This window comes from Homo sapiens, chromosome 1 (genome assembly GCF_000001405.40).
Source record: "Homo sapiens chromosome 1, GRCh38.p14 Primary Assembly".
NCBI classification, from domain to species: domain Eukaryota; kingdom Metazoa; phylum Chordata; class Mammalia; order Primates; family Hominidae; genus Homo; species Homo sapiens.
Window position 1 is genome coordinate 37287534 of NC_000001.11, and position 20561 is coordinate 37308094.

Sequence of the window (20561 nt, forward strand, 5' to 3'; positions counted from 1 at the left end):
GAAAAAAGGCATGCCTGAGTCCCAATCCCAGATTCTGACTTAATTGATCGGGGATGGAACCCAGACACCAACGTGTTGTAAAAGCTACCCAGGTGATTCTAATGTCAGGGTTGAGGACCAGATTTCAGGCTCAGAAGTATCCATGGATCTTCCCACAAGCGATTCAGCAAGTCATGGAGCCCTACTACATGCCAGGCCCTCTGCTGCTCCCTGGAAGTTTTGTCCCTAAAGCTGATCAAAGACCCAGCTTTGATCCCATATGCATGGCCATGGCTGGGAATCCTGTTGCCCAAGACTTGAAGGCAAGAGGAAGACTGGAAGGCCCCTTTGATTCCTCTAAGAGCCCTACCTTTCTCCCCCTCCCCACCCCAAGTCCTTGCCTACCACCAAGACGAGGACATAGAGGACAGAGTGCAGATTTGTCTGCAGTTGGAGAAAAGTTGAAGAGTCTCCTCTGGGCAGGTCATGATGCTACCCCAGGATACACCAATGCCTTCATATAGTCCCACCAAAATTGGCAGACCCTTGGGATGGCTGGCAACGGAGACATAGTGATGATGAAGACATGTCCACTACCCTCAAATAACTCATAGTCTACTTGCAGACGTAGACTATGGTATTGAGGATGAAGCACAGGTGCCATCCAAAACCATCCTGGGTCCCCCCATCCCAGAGGCAGCACAGGATGATAGAAAAAACACTGAACTCAGAGTCTGGATGCCCATGCTCTCATGCTGCCTCTAGCACTGTCTTGACCTGGTTGGAGAGAAGGGAGCAAAGAGAATGGGACAGGTGACGAAGATAGGGAGAGGGCTGGGACTGGTCTCTACAGATCCTAGAATATGAGGCTCAGGGGCTTGGACTTCATTCTGTAGACTCTCAGGGGCCCGGACTTCATTCTGTAGACTCTCAGGGGCCCTTGTGAGGTTTTGAGCAGGGGCAGGACATAGTCAGAATCATGGTTTGCAAAGGACTCTGTGATGGGGGATGGACTGGTTGGAAGGACAGAGGCATGTGAGAACCTGGTTGGAGGACTTAGTCATGAAGGCAGTGGCCAGTGATAGAGAAAAAGGTGACACCCCAAAGATCTCTGGAGCTCCCTCCTCAAGAGGCAGCAGGATCATTTGGAAAGAGAACTGGATTTGGAGTCTACACCTGCTGCTTCTTCAGCCCGAGAAGCTATTCCTCCCTCTCTTTATTCTCACCTTACAGCTCTGTTCAAAGACCACCTCCTCAGAGAGGCTGTTCCAGATTATTGTATCAAAGTGGATGTCTCAGTTTCTCCCTGCCACACCACCCCATGATTTCCTTTACTGCAATTTCATGATCTATGACTATTATTCATTCACGTGTTTACATCTTTATTTCAAGTTCCATGGGGTCAGTGACCTTGTCTGTCCTGTTTACTGTAAATCCCTATCTCTGGGCACAGTACCTGGCACCTGGCAGATGTTTGCCTCTTCCTGTATTCATGCTTTTTGCCATGAACTTTGCAGTGCCCTCTCATGTGGGTGGGTGTATTTCTCACTTCTCCTTTTGAGTTTCGCCATGTGACCTGCTCTGACCAATCGAATGAGGTGAAGCAATGGTGTGCTAGCTCTAAGCCCAGGCCTCTGGAGGCCTTGTGTATTTCTGCTTGCTCTCTGCCACCACTGCCACAGCCATGAAGAGAACATGCCTAGGCCATCCCACTGGTCTCAGGAGCTGAAGGAGAAGGGGCATGTGAAGCAAAGCCACCTCCAGCCAACCGCAGCCTACATCTGCTGACCCACAGATCAATGGAAATGAATGATTGCTGTTTTAGGACATAGAGTTTGGGGAGTGGATTGTTAGGTAACATTCTCCTCCACCTGTAAAATTAAGAGGCCGCTAGTTGAAGCATCTCCCCTAAAGGTCTCTGGTTTTTCTCTAAACATGGCGGCTCCCAACTTTCCAGTCCTACCTCTTCTGCCTTCCTGAAAAATGGCTTTCCCTTCTCACACGCTCTGCCTTTGCCTCAGCCCTCATAAATAACCATGTGGCATCCACTTCTAGGGGCCAAGTTCATGGCTCCCATGAGCCCCACTTTCAAGACACCTCTTCAGTGGCTTCCGCTTTGCCTGCTTCACTGCGGCCTGGGGGCATGAACAGCTAAAAGCCCTTCTTGGGTTCTGATGTGCAAATCAGAGAGCCCCAGATGGCTGAAGAAGAGCCTGTCCTTGCCAGGACTGCCCTGCCCCACATCCCAGGTGAGATCAGGGAGGGCAGCTGGGCTGGATTTGGAATACAGGGTGCCCATTTGGCCAGGGTGCGAACAGAAGTGAGTCAGAACCTCAGGTCGTGGAATTCTAAGGCTGGAGGGAACTTCAAAGACCATTTGAGACCATTTCTCACCTAACATATGGGCAAACTGAGGCACACGGAAGTAAAGAGACTTGCCCAACCATTCAGTGGCAGAGTCAGGAACCAGATTTCCTGACTCCCAGCCCAGTGCTCATTCCCCGGCACCTGGCTGGTCACAAGCAGGGAAGAGCACAAGCAAAGGTTTGGAGGCTGGAGGTGCGGATTCATTCAACACCATGTCCAGATCACCCGCAGGCAAGGGGCATCCACCATAGGCCAGGTTTTGTGCTAGGGCTAGGGGGTAGGGGGCAGATCTATTGGATGTCAATTCCCATAGTGGGGAGCTTATGCCAGGATCTATGCTGGGTGAGCAACTTTGAGTGCCAACAAGGGCCGGGCCATGGATTGACTGAGTGCTTACTATGTGCAGGTTCTGTGCCAAGTGCCACCCACTTGATGGCCAATGGCTGAAATACTCTGACCACCTCTGTCTCCCTGCTAGTCGCTGTGCCCTCCTTCGAACCTCTCTAATTGGCAGCCTCTTTCTGCCTCTGATCCTTTGTGTCTCTTGCTCTCTTTGCATCTCTGTTCCTGCTTCCTGTATGTATGTCTCTCTCTAGTCTCCCACCTCTTTCTCTTGGTCTCTGGATGAACCCCCTTTTCTCTCTGGGGTTGTATGATTCTTCTCTCTCTTGCTTGTGTTCTCATTTTCTTCTCTCTGTGTGTCTCTTTGTGTCTGTGATCCTACCACCCTCCATATCTCTGTCTCTCTCTCCCAGTCTGTCTCCCCTTCCTCCATTTTTGTACCCTCCACCCTGGGTTCCTGTCCAGTGTCCTCCCCCTGCCCACCCCGGGCTCTGTTCTCTGCCAGCTACAATTACAAGTGCATCTGCTGAAGTAGTCAAGCTCTTTTTCCATGGTAGGGTAACAAGGGGCTGTATGTTTGCAGCCACTGACTGGAAATACTGAATTCTTTTTCAGCAAAGAAAGACGAGCACCCTCTTGGTTTATAAATATTAATTATAGGCACCCGGTAATGAGAGAACAGGGCAGCTGTTGGCTGTGATCTCTGACTGTTTGACTAATCCTAGAGACAGTTTAAACAAGACAGTTATTGCCTGACGGGAAAAGGAATTAGGGTGCTGTGGTCCTTCCAGAAAGATCAGCTTAGGAAATCCAGGAGAAGCATGATCTCACCGAGGACACTAGAAGAGTAGCCTTGGGCAAAGCCTCTTCCCCTCTGGGCCCCAATTTCCCCCTTTATCCTACAGGGCCCTTCTGGCTCTGACCTTTACTATGTGGAGGTCCTGTTTGGGGAGGCAGCTGGACAGAGTATTTCAGGGCATCTGCCCAGCAGGGAGCATGGTCCCAACAGGGGGAAGGCCAGCACAGGGGAAAAGGTCTGAGAGTCAGTCAGGACAGCATCTGGCTCCTCGTCGTTGGGGTGACACATGGGTCTGTCCTAGTTTGAATCAACTCCTTCCCAGGAAAAGATCCTGGCTTGAGACAAAACCTGAAGCATAAACGGAGGTGTGTCAGTTCCATGTTGCAAGCCAGATGTTCTGGACCTAGCACTGGCTGGGCAGGTCTTCCAGATACCTCAGTTTTGCTTTCTGCAAAATGGGAGTAATGAGGAGGAACTTTTTGCAGCTCTTTTGATGCCAGAAAAATCTATCTAAATTGAATCTGAGAAGTCCCAGACTGCCTGTGTCTGCCAGAAGCCATTTGACAATTGCCCTATCTCCAAGCTCATGCCTCAATTCGACAGTTATTGACATTGCTATGTGTAAAGCAAGGAAGTCACTCCCGATGCACAACCAGGAAGAAGGTTGGTTGGGGGAAGAGGAGCAATGTCTGGAACAGAGCGTGCCTCTGAGACGTCCCCAGTCAAGGTCCCCACATAGAAGAAAAGTAGGCTATTCCTTCTAGAACACATTTTCTAAAACTCCCTCACCCCTGGGGAGATGTTTAAATTTGTAAAACACTAAGCCATTTATCATCTCATGGAAACACAAGCCAGCCTGCAGGAGAGCCAGTGCGAAGCACGCACTGCCCGTTTGAAGGAAGCAGAACCTGGGCTGCGAGGTGTCCTGGTCTCTTGCCCAAGACCATTCATCTAGGAGGCAGCTGAGCTGGAAGTCAAGCCCTGGTTCATGATCCCAAAACCCAGCTGAGGCTCCTCCCTAGGCTCCCAGCTCCATCAGCCCACAGCAACGCCAAGGTGGGCACAGCCCAAGTGAGCATCCTTAGAGGCTGGGACTAGCCCCTCCTCTTCTATCATTCTGCCCTCCCACCATCGCAGAGGAGCCCGGGCTTGGGCCACTGATGGTGCTTACAAAACGTAAGCAGAAAGAAAAGGAAGGAAAGAATGTTCTTCCAGGTTTCAGTTGTGTTTCCACCAGTCCCTGACTGATACTTACAGGAACAGGTACCTGGATTCACATCCTGGCTCTACTGTGGATGTATGAGAACTTGGGCAAAGTCCTTAAGCTCTCTGTGCCTCGGTTTTCTTTTTTGTTTATTTATTTTTATTGTGTCTCAGTTTTCTGACCTTAAAATGAGAATGATATTAGGACCAACTTCATTGTCATATCGCGTTATAAAAGTGTCAGCTGTTATTACTAATAACCGTCTCTAGTCCTGCCTACTTTCAGAGCTCAGAAGCCAGTTTACCCAATTTCACCTGAAGTCAAATGAGGGGGGAACATTAGGCTGCTCTCTTATGTTATGCGGCATTGCGTCAGAGGTTGAGCTGAGGGGTCCGGCTCAACTCCTACACTTGTGGAGCCAGAGGCTGGGGAGGACCCTTGTCTATTGCCCTCTGTTCCCTGAGAGCTTGATCTGTGGAAAGACCCCGCAGGCCCTATCCTGGTTGACCCCGAATGGGAGGAATAAAAGCTTAGGGTTCTGCCTTGCCACGGGCTCTGTGCCTTGTAGCAAATTCCTGCCACAATCCCATAGGCTTGGAAGGAACAGAGTGGGGGGCAACTTGCTTAAGAAAACCCGAAGCTCTGAGCGCCCCCGCTATCCCCCTCCTTGGCCCAGGCCAGACTAAACACCTCTGCAGAACCGTTTCAACTCCAAGTACAGATGCCGCCACCAGAGCCAGTCCTTGGGGAGCCTCAGGCTGGGCTTGCACACAGATCAGAGCAGGGTGGCCCAGGTGGCCAGAGTAGCAGCGACAGCTTTGGGGAAAGAGGCTGGGCACGTCCTTCCCTGCATTCTTTCTCTTCCAGCCTTCCTGAGCTGCTTGACGGGGCTCACAGGTCTTAAGTCTTCATAGGGGCCAGGGCCCCACATTACATCCTCTCCTACGCCTTCAGAAGAGGCAAGCGGGCTCAAAGGCTAGCACTGGGCCCATACTCAGGCTGGGCTGCTGGAGGCTCCAGCCTGCCATTCCCAGATCTTCTTGACACTCTCCCCTAGAAGTTTGCAGCCTTGGCAAAATCTGTGTGTGCAGCCCCTTACATCTGTGTGATCCCCCCCTTCATCCCCCTCCTTCTGGCCCTCCCACCACCCTCTCCTCCCCAGTGAGCCAGACAAGAGAAGAACTGTTTCTGCCTGTAAGCAGCACCCTCACAGCTCCCCCTAAAGATTTACAGGAAAATCTTCCGGCAGATTCAAAAGGAGGCCATGAGCTCAGTGCCAGTCGTTCAAATTTTCCACCTGAATTGATTCGTCTGCACATTCAGAGAACTCACACCCATTCCATCAGCCAACTCTGTAATCTGGGGCCAGTGTGTTGACCCCTGTGAGCCTCAATGTCTTCATCTGTAAAATGGGAAGAATAGTCAGAGCTACCTCCTAGGGTGAGGAAGGAGCAATGAAAAGATGCAAATAAAGTGTTTAGCCCAGTGCCCCGCACATAGAGAAAGTGAGACTTTTTTTTTTTTTTTTTTGAGGCTGAGTTTCACTTTTGTTGCTCAGGCTGGAGTACAGTGGTGCAATCTTGGCTCAAATCTTGGTGCAATCTTGCTACCTCCACCTCCCAGGTTCAAGCAATTCTCCTGCCTCAGCCTCCCAAGTAGCTGGGATTACAGGCATGCACCACCATGCCCGACTAATTTTGTATTTTTAGTAGAGACGGGGTTTCACCATGTTGGTCAGCCTGGTCTCCAACTCCTGACCTCAGGTGATCCGCCTGCCTTGGCCTCCCAAACTGCTGGGATTACAGGCATGAGGCACCGCACCTGGCCAAGTGAGACATTCTTGCTAGCTGTTAGGATATGTATTTTTTAATTCATGATTACATGCCATATGCCAGACCCTGGAGCCACAGTAATGAATCCAGCCAGCATCTCTGTTCCCAAAGAGTTCACTGTGACATGGGAGAGAAGAACAGGTAAACTAAAATGCTGCCAGTGTGACAGGATACATTTGCATAGCAGAAGAATGTACAAATCAGGGTTGTGGGGGAGGCGCAAAGAAGGAAGACCTTGGTTGCGGGATGCAGGGATGCTGGGACGGAATTTGAAGACTGAGTAGGAGCTCACCAGGCAGTTGAAGCAGAAAAGGCATTGCAGGTAGACAGAACGATCAATACAGAGACTCAAAGGCAGGAAACAGCACCATAAGTCCAGGGCCATAGAGAGTGATAGGAATCCAGGTTAAGGGAGGCCCTAACTCCAGCCACAGGAGGGTCTGGACTCATGCTGCACACGTTAAGTTCAGTCGTGAGAAGGGTTTTAAGCAGGAGTGACACGATCACACTCCAGTCTTAGGCTGCATGCACATCCAAGTCTGGGCAGTTTATGTAACTTTTCCTTTTCTTCTCGAGCATTTATCCAGCCTAGAAATTTTAGAGCAAGCACTTTCCCTTATTTCTATTCAACCTGAAAGCGGCAGTCGAATCCAGCTTGCATGGTATTGAAATGCAGGTGGCCTGTGCAACAGTGTTGCTAAAATTACCAAAACTAACCACACCAGGGAAGGGCCATTATCAGAAACAGATTTTATTACCATGGAAACCAGCAGATAATGCCAAGTCCAGTCATTTTTATTCTCCGAAAAGAGAGAGAGACAAGGAGAGAGAAAAAGAGAAACAGAGAGAGCAGCAGGAGAGGAGCGCAGTTGAAATGGAGTGAGAATGCCGGAGACGCCTGGAAGAGGGGTGGCGAGCTGGGGAATGACTGCGGGGCTCGTGCCACACATGCCTCTGTCCATCCATACACTTCGCCAGCATGTACGGAATTCATGCTACCTGCCACAAGAAGCTAGCAGGAAGCAGCCAGAAATGGCAGAAATGGCTTTGCAGTGTGACTTCCACCATGGGTCTAAAATGTGGGAAACTGTGCAAATGCCCCAGAAAGAGCTACCTAGGGTGTATTTCAGTGCAACCCTGGTGATCTCTACAGAGAGCACTGAACTTGGGATCAGAAGCCCCAGCTTTGAGTTCAGGCTCTGCCTAGAGTGGCTTGTGACCTTGGGCAAGGTCACAGAAATTCTCAGAGCCTCAGTTTATTTATGTGTCTGAAGAGGGACCTCCTGGGGGTGGCTGTGAGAGTCTGGTGTGCATGGGTGCCAGGGCGTTTTGTAACTGTAGAGGGCTGTGGGCACAGAACGCCCTGCAGGTTCCAGGATTCTTACCCCTGGGTCTCTACTTTGTCCCCTGATTTGAGGAGTTCCTTCCAACCACACACAGCTTTCTGGCCTTCTGCAGCCTGTGGAATGCATCCCCAGCCCACACAGCCCCAAAAGAGGAGAGCAGGGCAGGAGGCCCTGGTGAGAGTTTTGATGGAGTGGAGGGGTGGATGCTGCTGAGAAGAGGGGTGACAGGAGAGTCAGGATGAGTACGGTTTTGTGAACAGGGCTGAGACAAGGTTTTGACTGGATCACCGTAAGGGAAAGGAAAAACCAAGGACAGAGTGGGAGGAAGCAGGTGAGACAGAATGAGGAGAGCCAGGTGACCCTAGGGAAGGGGACTTGTCAATAGCCTAGGATCCTGGGGAAGTAGTAAGTGGGAGGTTTTAGCTGCCCAAGTGTGTAGTACAGGGGAGAACAGGTGAAAGGGAGTCACAGAATATCCGCAAAGACCCATAACATCACAGGCGCATACACAAAGGGCATCCAGCCCTTGCTCCTCGAAGCGTGCATCACCTGAGAGCTGGCTAGAAATACAGACTCTGCCCCAGACCTCCTGATGATTCATCTGTATGCTCAAGTTTAAAAGGCATTGGTCTAAGTCCTTTCCCTTCTCTAAGTCTCAGTTTCTTCATCTATAAAATTGGAATCATAATACCCTTCCAGTCTCACAGGGCTATTTGGAGGATTGAAAAAAAACAAAAATGTTTGAATGAATCACTTTGAAAAATTAAAAGCACCATATTGAATATAAGATATTGTTTTACTATTACGTATTTATTATTATTATATACAGGCAGCCCCAATCTCCCAGGGCAACAAGGCGCTCTCATAACAAAATGACTTGATTAGACCGTTCTCCTAAAAACACTGCTCCCCAGCTAGCATTTTTCCTATCAGCGTGCCTCTTCTTGCAGCTGCATATTAAATCTTCATCCCATCAGCACTTGACTGAATTTGTAGAAACAAAATGGAAGAGGGAACTCAGGCATGAATTAGCAGTTTAAGACAGGAATGAGATTACGATAAAATCCCCACTCTCTCCATCCATCAAAATGTAATAAGAATAGAAACTAATGTGAAAATATCAACATGACCTATTGCTTCGATCCTGGCACTGCCATCCTTTATGATCGAGCCTTGCAAGATGCAAGCATCTCATTTCACTGTAAGCGTCACGGTTTAGGCAGGGGACACAAACCATGTCCGAGACAGCCTGCACACTTAGGCAGATCCCTCTCGGGGAAACGGGAAGGGACCAAATATGACGCGGTTCCCTGACTTTCCAAGTCACGGAGAATGAGAATGAATCAGAGGTGACTTGGTCTGAAGGGTGTTTGGTTTTGCTTTCAATTCTGTCTGTGGATATAGAAACCCCAGCTCCATCAAAGGATCGTGGAAGATGCCCAGAGAGGACATTTCTGAAGTTTCAAATGTCTCCAGGAGCCTCTGCTCCTTGGTTGCAGCAGAAATGGTGGCCCCATGTACCAGCCTCATACCATGATGGCAGAAAACCTTGTGTACCTGCACGGGCATCATGGGATATAGAGCATGTTCCTGGAGACAGTGGTGCGGCCACTGATCCCTACAGTGGCAGGTGAGGAACAGACGAACTCAGATAAGCAATGGGACTTGCTCAAGGACACACAGCAAGTAAGGGTTAGACTCCAGGTCTGCCAGACTCCTTGTCCATTGCCCTTCAAACAGCATCACATTGACAGAGAGGTGCCAGGACCGAGCTCAGGTTAGAAGTACACAAAACATGAGCAGCAGTACCTGCCTCTGGGAACTCAATGCCTCACTCCCATCTGAGCTCATTCTCCCTCCAACCTCCCACCTCCATTCTGCCATGGCCACCTGCTTCCTCTTGCTCCATAAAAGCACTGAATTTTCTTTCCAATCACAGACTTTGAACAGTCTCTTCCCTGGAATGCTTTTCCTCCCACCGTTCACTGGGACCACTCCCTGTCCATCAAGTCTCACCTGAGGTACCACCTCCTCAAAGAAGCCCTCCCAGATACACCTTCTCCCTACACCCTTTCCTCCGCTTCAGGACTCTCAGTTAATTCACTTTCATATCAGCCTGTGCTATGCCCCTGTAGCACATTTCTCAATAGTAGTTAAATCATTGTTTGTGTTATTACTTGGTATTTATCACCTCCATGGGACAGCAAGCTATAAAGTATAACTCTCTGGATACTCTGTCTTGTTTACCATTGTATGCCCAGCACCTAGCACAAGACTTGCCACTTATTCTTCCACTTATTCAAAAGTGTTTATTGAATACCTACTATGTGCCAAGCACTGACAGCATCCCTGTTTGCATGGAAGCTTCATTCTAGTGGAGGAGCATATACAATAAACAAACCTATGTCTGGTGATGATGAGTGTGAGAAGAAAAAGAGAACAGGGTGTGCCAACTTTTGAGCTGATGTTCAGGAATTCTCTTAGAGGTGACATTTGAGCAGAGCCTGGGAGGAAGCGAGAGGATGAGATACACAAACACTGAAGGGAACAGCATTCCACACAGCAGGATCAGTAACTGCAGGAGCCCAGGGGCTGGTCTGTGCATGGCATGTTCCTACAGGTTGGGGTGAGAGGGCAGTGGAGAAGGTGGGTCAGAGAGGTCGGGGGGCCCAGTGTTGAAAACTTTAGAGTTGACTCTGTGTGAGAGAGGAAGCCATTGGAGGGTTGTGAGCAGAGGGAGGACTTGATCTGACTTTGATTCTAGAAGGACAGCTCTGGGTACTGTGCAGAGACCACCCAGAGGGTTCAAGGGCAGGAGCAGGAGAACCTGCTGAGAGGCTACTGCACCAGTCCAGGTAAAAGGTTGTGGTGGCTTGGACCAGAAGAGTAGCAATGAAGGTGGAAGAAGAGTATGGACTGCAGGTATATTCTGCAGATGGAGTCAACGGGGTTTGCTAAGGGATTAAATGTTGGGTATAATGGCATGAAAGGAGTCAAGGATGATGCCACAGATGCTGGCCTGAGAAACTGGAAAAATGGAGCTTCTGTAAACCAATAAATTACCTTTTATGTTTAAGCCCAGTTGAACTAGGGTTTATCACTTGGAATTTTTTTTAAATATTGAGTAATTCAGAGACTAACCAACAGGCCAGAGGTAGCAAGGTAGGAAGTAGAGAGGAAGGGACAGATAGGGGGAGGACAGGAAAGTGCCCGACTGGATGCAGCAGAGAGTGGGGCCTCGAGATGGAACAAAGAGGACTCTGGGATCGCCTCCCCAGGAGCTGGGGAGGATAGCAGCCTCAATCATGGGAAGCACAGACTCAACTGAGTATGCCTTTTCCTTTTTAATTTGAGGCACCAGCTGCTGGAAACGTGGGATTGGAGCCTTGGAGGGAAACCAGAGCTCCCAGGTAATACATGCTTTCAATAAGCCAAGCACAGGGTGAAGCTCACATGTACTGTGTTGCTAAGCACTGCAAAGCTTTGTCAGATTAGTGTCGCTGCTCCCATTTTACAGACGAGGAAATAGAGGCTCAGAGAAGCTATGGGGCCTGCCCAAAGCCACACAATTAGAAATAGACTCGGAACCACCCAGGAGAAAGTAAGTCTTTTGCCTATAGGTGACATTAGGAACACCTCGGCTGGAGGTCAAAAGACACTGGCTCCTTGAGTGACCTTGGGAGCTCATCCTCCTCTCTGCACTCCGCTTCCCCATCTGGGAAATGCCAAGATTTGGCTTGTTGATCTCAGACTCACTCAGCCCTCCTCCCTCCTGTTCTGTCTTCAGAGAACCAGGACAGGCAGAAATGATCCGTCCGCCACACAGCTTGGGCACCTACTGTGTACAGTACCTTGTCTTGGGAAGAGGGAGGGAGGAGGAGCCTGGAGCCCACCTTCAGAGGACTCCCAGAATGCTTGGGGCTGGGAGCGCAGGGCCTTAGCAGACAGCACTGCCAGGAGGGACCAGGGAGCCAAGCCAAGCTCCTGCACACAAATCGCTCCCGGCATATGCTCCTCATTTCATACATCATTTGCAAGGAGCTGCAGCCATTTTGCAAAGTCTCTTCCTGCTCCAGGAGCATCTGGGCTTTGGCTTCTGTCTTTTCTGCTCGGTCTCCTTTCCTTTATGTTGTCCCCTTCCACTGCCACCAGCAGCCACAGGCAATACTTCTCTGTAGGTTTGGGAGATCCAGGTGGAGGTGAGCAGAGTAACTTTCCCCTGGAGGACTCGATGGTGTAAAGAGTGTGCATGGTACAGGCAGTCCTGGGAGATGCACACCACTAGGGTGGAGCGAGAAGTGTGAGTGATGCCTCTGGGAGGCTGCACCAAGTAAGATAAGGAATGGCTGCATTGGGATTCACCGAGTAACACACACACTGCCAGAATTAGGCTCCCACAAGGAACTGTTATGATACAGTAATGTGGAAAAATGTCCATGGTATGGTCCACTGCAGGTTGGGAATATCGCCATCAAGTTAGGTTTCAGGGAGTAGCTCGCTATCTTGGAAGGGCTGGGGGATGTGAGTAATACCACCGTTGGGGGCTTTGCAATGTAGGCAATGTGCAGAAAGTGCAGACCCATGACTTGTTCAAGTTATATCCAGGGCTTACTGCATAGTAGATGCTCAATGAATATTTGCTAAGCAAATGGATAAATGAACTGAGTGAATAACACTGTGCCCAGATACACTGAGTGATGGGACCCAACATTGCCAAGGATTCCTCCCAGCACTGCCCCCAGGGCCTTCCCTGGACATCAGGAACCACAGATGCAATGGAAATGGGTCATCTGACCCAATTAGAGGGACCAATTCCATCTCTCTCTCTCTCTCTCTATTTCTTTCTTTCTCTCTCTCTCTCTCTCTCTTGCTCACCCTCTGTCTCCTTTTTCAGTCTCTGGTTTTGTGGCTGGAAGGAAAACAAAGAAAGTTCTCCCATTTCATGCTGGAACCTCTCACCAAGCCTGAACTTCCCAGAGCCCAGGGTGTTTGCTCCCCGCAATCTTTCCAAAGCTGGGCCCGCAGCTCAGAGCCAAGGATATGGGGAAGTTAGAGCTCTGGCTTCCACCCACCCACCAGAACAAACCCCAGCCCAGCTACAGTGGCTGTGGAGCCTGCTGGAGCCAATGCCAGATTCCAATCTGACAGAGCTGACACATACCACCTCCCTCTCTGGGGGTGCCTACTGCCAGACCTCTCCAGCCTGAACCCAAGTGAGGACCAAGATGGCCCAGGGGAGCCCTGAGCAACAGAGCCACTGGGTTGTATCTAGGGCCTAATACATATTCTCATTCTTTGTCTATTCTTCCATTTGGTGGAGTTCTTGAGGACCTGCTACATGCCAGGCACACACTCAGCCTTGGGGATCTCAGAGTGGGCCAAGCTGACAAGGTCCCTGCCCTTGTGGACTTGACATTCTAGCAGAGAAGAAAGCCAATCAACTATCAACCAACCAAATGAGTATGAATATTTTAGGTGGTGAGAAGGACAACAAACACAACATAAAGTTGTGCTGGCTTTTCTCAGTTTCTTCCCCTGGCTTCCATTCAGTTCTTTTCCCTGCTCTGATCTGCTCCATGCCCTGGGGCTGAGCCCTGTGGAATGCACCCCTGGGCTCCCTTGCCTCTGGCTGGCTTCTACTTGGGTTCAGGCAATGGAAGACCCCAGCAGGAAGTCAGAGCATTGGAGGAGAGAGAAGTTCATGCATGTCTTCTCCTGCCCCTCCTTTCTATGTTGCCCAGGTTCTAGCAGTGGCTGCAACTTTCTGTGACTCTGGCTCAGCCCTCTTCACGTTCTGATAGCACATTTCCTCCCAGCGCCTCCTCAGACCCCAGGTGCTAGCATCTTCCCACAGTTGCTAGCTGCAGGGTCCCTTATCCTTGTCCACAGTCTTCAGATTCCCAGTCAAGTGTGCCTGCTATTCCTGCTGGGCCCCTGACTGATGCACAGGTAAATGGCATAGGATGTCATGGTCAGGCTTGGGTTGTTCAGGCTTGGGTTGTTAAGGAACAGAAAGCTGGCCAGCATGTCTGGAAAGCAGTGAATGAGGGAATAAAGTTGAGGTGAAATTTAAAATAGTTAACAACTGGCTTGGCACAGGCGCTGCCCAATCAGAAGGGACCCAGTTGCAATCGGCCATTGCGCCTGCTGCACTAGCATCCTGGGTGATCAGAGAGGCAGTCAGGGGTGCACCGGCCAGGGTCCTGCAGACACCAATGACTCATGCAAGCTCCACTTGCAATTTCTCCATGCAGTTTCTCCACTTCATATCTGATGCCTTTCTCCTTTTCTCCCAGGGCCACACCAAAGGAGATAGCTGGCTTGCCAGGTGTTTCTCTGACAATTAGCCATGTGGGCAAACCTTGAGTCCTGGGGGCACTTCTAAAAGGTATGCTGCTATGGGTTCTGGCTCAAGACCCAGAGAAGTGTTCAAGAGAAGCCTGAAAAAAAATACAGCTCAGAGAGGTTATGTGACTTGCCCAGGACCACACAGCCAGGTGAGGAGGCAGGTGAGGAGAGTTTAATAAAGGGGCACTTTACACAAGTGCGGATGAGGAAGCCTCAAGGGTGAGGCAGAACTGCAGGACTATAACAATCCCATGCAAGAGGGTGAGGGGAGAGTGCCGTTACTAGACGCAGACAGAGTTGTGAAGAGGGGGCTGCCTTGAAAAAAGCTAGGACCTTCCCTCGAGGACCACACGTAAGCTGCGGTGGCCCTACGGGAAAGCATCAGAGAAACCAATGTCCCAACCCAGCTCTCCACCCTGTCCCCAGCCTCCTTATGGTGACACCCACTCACCAGTGCCACTCAGGAGCCAGAGATTGTCCATATGGGTCACCCTCCCAAAGCCTAGAGCAGGATGAGAAGGAGGGTGCCTGGATCTTGAGAGGGAAATGGGAAATCTCCAGCCCCCAGATCATGTCACACCTTGAAAGTCATGGCAAGTGGGAAAACACTGGGAAGGAGAGTGACAAAAATCACATCTGGACCCTTTACCTCCATCCACAGGGAGGTGACAATGGGCTCTGCTCATGAGAGCCTGGACCAGACACCTCCCAGAAGCATGTAGTGATGCTGGTTGGGAGACAGAAGGAAGCTGGGAGCCCCCCCTCGGGAGCCCAGGCCCCGCGACCAACCTCCTCAGAGAACCCAGGGGCCCCAGCCCATGGGAGGCAAACTCACTGGGCCCTGCACCCCACGAGTGTGGCACACAGGACCACCCTAGATGCAATGGGATTTGGTTTCCCTCCACCAGGTAGGCAGCCTTCAGAAATCAGAAAATGCCCGATGCTTTCCTTGAGGGGCTCCTGCTGAGCTACCGAGGAGAGGCGGAGGAGGAGGCAGAAACCCTCCCAGACTCAGCTTTGCCAGGCTGAGAAGTGGGAGAGGTGGTTTTGGAAAGCTACCCACACGTTCCCTTCTCCCAACCATCATGAGGGTTAAGACAGAGAAGCAGAAGAAAGGGAGCAACTTGTCCCCGCTTTGTGTACTCATCTCAACTTGTGTACTCATCTGCGGAAGTGGTCAGGGCACCAGGACAGGAGGACAAACTCCAGACCCCCGCAGGTTCTACAGGTGCTTGGAATTTGCAATCAACAGGACTTCCAGAAGAAGATTCTACAGGACCTCCAGAAGAATCTGGGGGCTGAATTTCTCATAGCTTGAATGTTGGAGTCAAGAAAATCCCTAGACTTGGAATCAGAAGCCTGGGGTTCTAATCATAGCCTGCATGTAGCAGGTGCACGCAAACATGGTTTTAAGGCAAGAGAGAGAAAACTGATAACATGGGATATCATGTCACAGCTCCTCATCTGACCGGCGCATGAGCCAGGCCCTGGCTCTGCAAATGCACCTGATGTTCTTTTTCACATTGTCTCAGCAGGAGCCTGATCCATTTCACAGAGGAAGAAACTGAGGCTCAGGGAGACTACGTCCCTCGCCCCAGTCCTGCAAGCTGGTCAGCAGTAGAGCCAGGAGGCAAGCCCAGGCCACTGGTGGTAAAAGCCTTGGCCCTCCACCACCAGACCTCCTACCTAAGAAGAGAACAATGCAGCCCCAAAGCCTGGGTTTCCTCAGCAAATGCTGGAGTCTCCGAAAAAGAGCTCAGATGACTCTGGGTTCTACAACTCTCCGCCTCCATTATTACAGCCCAATGCTCCCGTTCCCAGACTCACTAGGCAGAGGCTGGATCCTGCCTGATTCATTCCTTTAATCAGGGCTGAAGCAGCTTCCTGAAGAACACTTAGACCCTCGTTAAAATTAAGTCATTGCTTTAATAACCACAGGGCAGAGATGGCTGCAGCTGGGAGCGTGTGAGCTCTCAGCACTCCCCATGGGTCTTGATGAGCTGGGCACTGCCGTGGGATACCAGGTGCTCCAATTTCTCCACTTCACATCTGATGCCTTTCTCCTTTTCTCCCAGGGCCACACCAAAGGAGATAGCTGGCTTGCCAGGTGTTTCTCTGACAATTAGCCATGTGGGCAAACCTTGAGTCCTGGGGGCACTTCTAAAAGGTATGCTGCTATGGGGTTCTGGCTCCAAATCCAGAGAAGTGTTCAAGAGAAGCTTGAAAAAAAAAAAAAACACTGCTCAGAGCAGTTACATTACTTGCCCAGGAGGACACAACCAGCTAGAGGGAGCACAGGATCTGAAACCCAAGTCTGTGTAAACCTTAAACCCAACACAGTATATTCCTCTTACCTCATCACATGGTGTCAGTGTGTCTTCGTGGGTCCCACAAAGGCACCTGTTCCGGGGACAAGTGCCATCTCACCTGGGAGGACAGACCTGCCATTGTTACTCACTAGCTCTGAGAGTTGAGGTAAATTGCCTGACTTTTCTGTGCCTCAAATTCTTCATCTGTCATACAGGATATCAGATTATTGTGAAGCTTGAATGAGACAATAAATGTGCAAATGCTCTGTCAATTGTAAAGTCTGGTGTACGTTGAGGATAAGTGAGCCTGTGGGAAAAGTCAGATTCCAGCAAACATAATGGCAGGGGCTGGGGAGCATCAGGGAAGAAAAGGGGGAGAGGGTGTGGGCTGGGAAATGATGAATGGGTGCCTGCACATTCCTGGGGAAGAAGCATGCAGAGATCTGTGAGGCAGGAGCCCAGCTCTGGGAGAGAGAGGCACTCTAGCTGGACCACACAGGGCTGGAGCAGGTGCAACCTGGGGAGTTAACAGTGAGTACCTGGAGACCACACTCCTCCAGGACAATGCAGGAAGTGGCCATGGTCAGGCAAGCTGTGGCTGGGCTGTGCGCCACGATGGCCACATCTCTTGCCCTCTGAGCCTTGGTTTCCTCTCTGTACCATGGAGGTAATAGATCTACTTTACAAGGTCATGGTGGGGATTGGCAATAATGGACGTAAAGTGCCTGACATATAGCAGGTGCTCAATAAATGGTTTCCATTGTTATCATGATGATGACTATGATGATTAGCAAATATCTCTGAGTCTACTTCCTAGACTATAAAGTGAAAATAATCAGATCTATGTCACAGTATTCTTGGAATGCTAAAAGGTCATAGTCTACCTGAGACTACCAAGCACAGGGCCTTATGCGCAGCAGGTGCTCAACAATCTATTCTCCCCTTCCCTTCTTTTTCTGACCAAGGAACAGGTGTGGAGCCTACAGATAGGCATGGTAGGAAGATAGGCTTTGGTTCCATCCTAGAGCTCCCAGCTTCCTTTGAAAGGTAGGGAGCTCTCCAACCCTGGAGACATCCAAAGAGAAGTTAGATGACTTTGTGATAAAAATTGGTCACTTTCCTTTTATTAGTGAAGGAAGGTGACAAATTTCAGGCAAGGAGCTGAACTCAAGGCCAAAGCCCTTGCAGCTTGGAGGATGTGCAGTCCTATGACTGCAGGTTCTGATGTCACTGGACTGCCCAGCCCTGGCCTATAGTAAACACAACCTTGGATTTAGAGTCCAAAGATTGTAGGCGGAATCCTGGATCAGCTTCTTCCATTTCCTCAGGACCTGCATGTAACAAGTGAGCAATAATCCATGTTTCCTTAAGACAGGATGGAAGCCTGCCTCTTCAGCTGCCCACCAGCTAAAGATTCATACTCAGACATCTGTAGGAATAGTACAGCCCTCCCATTCCTCCAAATTCCTTTGGAATGTTGGGAATTTCCCCAAATTAGGAAAAGGGCAGAGGCTCCTCCAAAAGCAGGCAGAGGCTGGCCTGGCCCCTCATGCAGAGGAGCACCCAGTGGGTGCTGGAGGCTTCCCAGCACCTTTCCTACGCCTGGGCAGCCCCAGCCCAGCCCCAGCAGGTGTGTTTGGAGAAGCACATCCCAAGTCTCACCCCGTACATGTTCCCTGGCTCAATTACAGGCTCAATTTTCTTTTCTGTTTAATCCCCAAATCAATATGTGTTCATACATATTTAATCGGGAGACTGTTTTTATTAGAGTGGGGATTAGTTTTACATCTTTCTCCCCACTGCTTGGAAGACATCCACCACTCACAAGAAAGACGAGTGGATGAATGAAGAAAAGACCCACGTGCAGGCCAGGCCCAGCCCAGTGCCCGGGCCAAGTTAAAGACACTGAGAGCACTCTCCTGCACCTGGCATCCCTGCCGCATGGGGCCAGAGCCCTGCTGCCTCCCAGCCCCCTCTCTCTGGGGCTGAACCTGCAGCCTGCTCCTCACTTCCCAATCCTTGCCGTAAGTCCCTGCTCAGGGATGGGCCCCAGGGGGTCTTCCAGGCCTGTTCTCCAGGAGCCAGGAGACCAAGGGCCGGCTGCCTGTTAGAGGTCAGAAAGGGAGGTCACCCTCAGTCTTGCCTTTCAGAAGTAATTGATTTCTCCTTCCAACTCCGAGTCAAGGCTGAACAGAATAAATTATCACCCTTTCACAGTGTCATCACCGTCACACTCAGCCCCGGCTGCCATCTGCTTCTTCACCAGCATCCCCACCTAGCCAAGCTGGAAGGAAGGAGAGAACACGTGGACAGGTAGACCGCTGTGCTGGCCAGAGAAGGAAAAGGGCAAGAACACCCTGGGGCCCAGAGTGAGAGAGAGGAGGCTGGGGCAAATTTCTCAGCACTCCTGTTAAAATAGGTAAAAACGGCGTGTGTCAAACCAGCTGCACATCATCTCATTTAATCCTCGTCTCACCTTGGAGAGACAGAGCCTCTTCTCATCATCTGCATTTTACAGAGGAGAAAACTGAGGTTCAGTGGGATTACAGGTCTTGCCAAAGCCTCACAAACAGGAAGTAGCAGAACCTGGACTTGAGCCACACCACATGGCTCAGGGCCTGTGCTTCTAGCTGTTTGGACTGCCTTCTCCCCAGCATACAATAATCTTCCCCTCCTCAACACAAGCTGGGGGTCATTCAAGGTGACGAGATTTTGGGAGCACCAGTTATTGGCTAGAAGTTGCCAGCCACCAAGGAAACTGGGGATGTTGGATGTGGTCAGCACCACAGCTCATGGCCACCACCACTCTCCTGTCTCTTCACTGACCTCATGCCTAGTGTGCCTACTGAGCCCCTCCACCAGGTCTGTGCTAGGAGCTGGGCTACGTGGATGAACAAAGCCAGGCATGGTTCATCTCTCACTCAACTAACACTCTGTGGGTGAGGTGTCCTGCCAGCAGAGTCGAGGTCCTGGAGAGCGTGCCCTGCCTGGGCTTCCCGACGTCCCCAAGCCTTGTCTGCCCGTCACCTAGCTTCCTGCAGCTGTCTTCAGCAGGGGCTCCCCAACACACAGTCAGGGAGTGCCCTGCGCCTCGCCTTCCGAAAACTCACCACATTGGCAACTATCTGATTGCAAACACCGGGTCTGTCTTATCCAAAGCAGGATCTTATTCGTCACTGGAATAGAAAAAAAAAATTGGGGAGGAGGAAAGAAGGAGGAGAGGAGAAAGGACAGGAGGGGGAAAGGAAAGGAGGGAAGGAAAGAGGGTGAAGTCGGGAAGAAAAGAAATCGGGGAGAAGGAAAGAACAAGGTAGAAGGGGAGAAGGAAAGAACAAGGTAGAAGGGAAGAAGAAAGAAACTTGGCCATTTTTGAAAGACCAGATGCACCCACAAAGATCCCTCGCTTCCCTCTTGCTCTGAGCTGAAGCTTGAGTTTGTACCCAGAAACGTGCTGAGAAGGTAAAGCAAGTAGACCCACTGCAGTAGGAAAGAGTCAAGTATTTCAAGGATTTCCCAAAAGAAGAGCTATCAGCTTAGCTGAATTAACCCTTTCATAGAGGTCAGGGGTTGATGCCTCTCTTCTCAAGGCTGCCAGAGGCAGATGGAGGGGCAGAATGACCTCACATCTGATGACACCATGAACTTAGCAAAGGATCAGGCCAAAGCACCTGGAGAGTTCTTCTGGTTGAGAAGCCTGTGGCTGGAGCTCGGGGACATGCAGAGCTCCATGTTGGGCTTCAGCCCTTCTTGAGAAGCTGGTATGTCTCCTGCCGGCCACCTTTTCCAAGCAAGTCCTCAGGATGGCCAGCTGGATGGGCCCCGTGTGACACGGGCCATCTAGGGCTGGTGCAGTCACTCTCTGCTCACACCAACCACTTGGCAGCCCGTGTTTGATGATGGGTTAATTCCTGAACAAAACACATAATGTAGGCAGTGTGATTCCTCATTTAGCTGTCAGATTGGGATAAAAAATGTGTGAGAGAGAAAACTCAAGGGAAAAAAAAATTGGATAATGATGAATTGTGACTGAATGCT

At 50.5% G+C, this 20561-nt stretch overlaps 2 annotated features.

The window, feature by feature from the left end:
- Positions 1632-1731: an enhancer, noted in NCBI's record as "active region_764". NCBI's record gives its function as "activates an Ori minimal core promoter by ATAC-STARR-seq in GM12878 lymphoblastoid cells {active_cell/tissue: GM12878}" and the evidence as "EXISTENCE:reporter gene assay evidence [ECO:0000049][PMID:35858748]".
- Positions 1752-1801: an enhancer, noted in NCBI's record as "active region_765". NCBI's record gives its function as "activates an Ori minimal core promoter by ATAC-STARR-seq in GM12878 lymphoblastoid cells {active_cell/tissue: GM12878}" and the evidence as "EXISTENCE:reporter gene assay evidence [ECO:0000049][PMID:35858748]".